The sequence below is a fragment of the Homo sapiens genome, chromosome 12 (assembly GCF_000001405.40).
Source record: "Homo sapiens chromosome 12, GRCh38.p14 Primary Assembly".
Taxonomy (NCBI): Eukaryota; Metazoa; Chordata; class Mammalia; order Primates; family Hominidae; genus Homo; species Homo sapiens.
Window position 1 is genome coordinate 28,564,358 of NC_000012.12, and position 2,426 is coordinate 28,566,783.

The following is a 2,426-nucleotide window of genomic DNA, read 5'->3' on the forward strand; positions in this document are numbered from 1 at the left end:
ACATAGATTCCCCCTCTCTTCCTTGGTGTGGTTCTGCCACATCTTCAAAGGCTTCTGTGGAGCCGGAGATGGTCAAGGAGGTGGTGACTGAGCATGGGATAAGCTTCACTATCATTGACAGTTCTGCCATTACGCTCTTTACTGCCACCTCACAAGGTTATAAAGATGTAGCTGACTATTCTTGTTTTCTTTTTTTTTTTTTTTCCTGCTTCAGGTTTATTTGTACAAATAGCACAGGAAGACACCAGCCCCATGCAGACGGCAGCCCAGGGGGGTCGCACCAGTCCTTCTGTCCTCACGTTGACAGATGGAGATCTCTACTCTGAAGCCTTTGTAGGGCCCTGGGCACCTTTAGAAGCCTGAACTGGAACTGAAGCTGGAGTTGCAGCCTGGGCCTTGGTTTGATCCTTGGCCTTTGGCTTGCACAGCCTGAGCCCCTTGGCAATGCGGGCATGAGCACGCTTCCCAAGCTTGGGGTGGGCAGTGTAGGCAAGTTGATCGAGCTTGCAGCTGACACCCTTTGGGATCTTGGGCTTAACCTCAAGGGCTTTACAAGGGCCTTGATAGCCTCAGCACGTGCACTCATGGCCTTGGCATTGTTAGCCTGCATCTTCTTTAGGCCTTTCTTGTGCTTCTTGGCAAAGTGTATGCTCCTCAGGAACTTGGGGTCCACTCCCTTTAGAGATTAGTGATTGGGGTTCCTTTGTGATTGGAGTTTCTTGATGCCATTTCTGTGCCATTTTCAGGACTGGTTGTGTGTGGTGTGGTTCTTGGACTTGGCGATGTTTGCACCATAAGCCACAGCTCCCATAGCTGACTATTCTTATGCACGAGACAAAACCAAAGAGAATTATGATATATCGTGGGAAAAAAAGTTGACCATCCACTTAATATTTCTGTAATCAAAAAGAAAAATCTCCAAAGTTAAGGCTTCATAAGCAGAGTCCTGTCCACCCCAGTTCCTAACCTTGTTTCTTGTCCCCAGTTCTACTTTTCTTTCCAAGATATAATGCCCTTTTTTATTCCTCCACTCTTTGAAATCAACACCTACTTATTGGGAAATTTCACTCTTTATCCACAAAAGTTATCACCACAGGACACATCCTGTTAGCATTATTTTCGAAACTCTAAGCTTCTTCTTGGAACTATTAAGAATAAGAGGCCAGTATGGTGGCTCATACCTATAATCTCAGCACTTTGGGAGGCTGAAGAAGGAAGATCTCTTGAGCTCAGGAGTTTGAGACCATCCTGGGCAATATAGTGAGACCCTGGGTGTAGTGGTGCATGCCTGTGGTCCCAGTTACCTAGGAGGCTGAGGCGGGTGGATCACTTGAGCCCAGGAGTTTGAGGCTGCAGTGAGCTATGATGGCACAAATGCACTCCAGCCTGGCCAACATAGCAAAACACTGTCTCAAAAAAAAAAAAAAAAAAAAAGGAAGAAGAAAGTATCAAGTACTAAGTCATAAACCTTAGCCTGCTACCTTATAAACTAAGTTGCTCCCTTACCCTAAAAAATCTTGGGCATGGGTTTGAATTTATTCCCTGAATTGGCCTAATTAACCTCTTAGACAGATATCATCCTTCTTTCCAATCTCTATGAGATGAACAGGCCTCATTCATACTTAGGCAGTTCCTCTAGTCTCTGGAGAGGTGGGGGTGAATTATAGGTAGGTCATATTTATGCAGCCATAAGGAAAGAAAGGATTTAGTCCAGTGAACAGATTACAAAGTGTTGGTGTATTAATCCTGTATTAGTCTGTTCTCATGCTGCTAATAAAGACATACCCGAGACCGGGTAATTTATAAAGGAAAGAAATTTGATGGACTCACAGTTCCACATGGCTGGGGAGGCCTCACAATCATGGTGGAAGATGAAGAGCGAAGGGACTTCTCACATGGCAGCAGGCAAGAGGGCGTGTGCAGGGGAACTCCCTTTTATAAAATCATCAGCTCTCCTGAGACTTGTTCACTATCACGAGAACAGCATGGGAAAGATCTGCCCCCATGATTCAATTACCTCCCACCGGGTCCCTCCCATGATGTGGGACTTATGGGAGCTACAATTCACGATGAGATTTGGGTGGGGACACAGCCAAACCATATCAAATCCTTAGTAACACGAGCATTTTATGATGTTATAAAATCACTCTTCTTCTTTGTTTTTGTTGTTTCATGAGTGATGGATAACTTCAGAAGATTGTGTTGGCAGTTAGCAAGGTTTGAAAGAGGTGTGTTCAAAATTTGATAGATTTTTGACTATTTAAAAATAATTGTTGAGGAGGAGCAGTTCTCATGTGGCCTTCATGCAGAGGGAACTTAGAAGTGTAAGCCTCCTGACTTCTGTCTGTCCCTTCACCCACTCTGCCTCAAAGCGGCTAGACTGATTTTCGGATTGGTCTATTTGAAATGGATATGATTGAGTTTAA

General features: G+C 44.6%; 1 pseudogene; it reads right to left on the reverse strand.

Moving 5' to 3' along the window:
- Nucleotides 204–814, reverse strand: RPL29P27 (ribosomal protein L29 pseudogene 27; annotated as a pseudogene).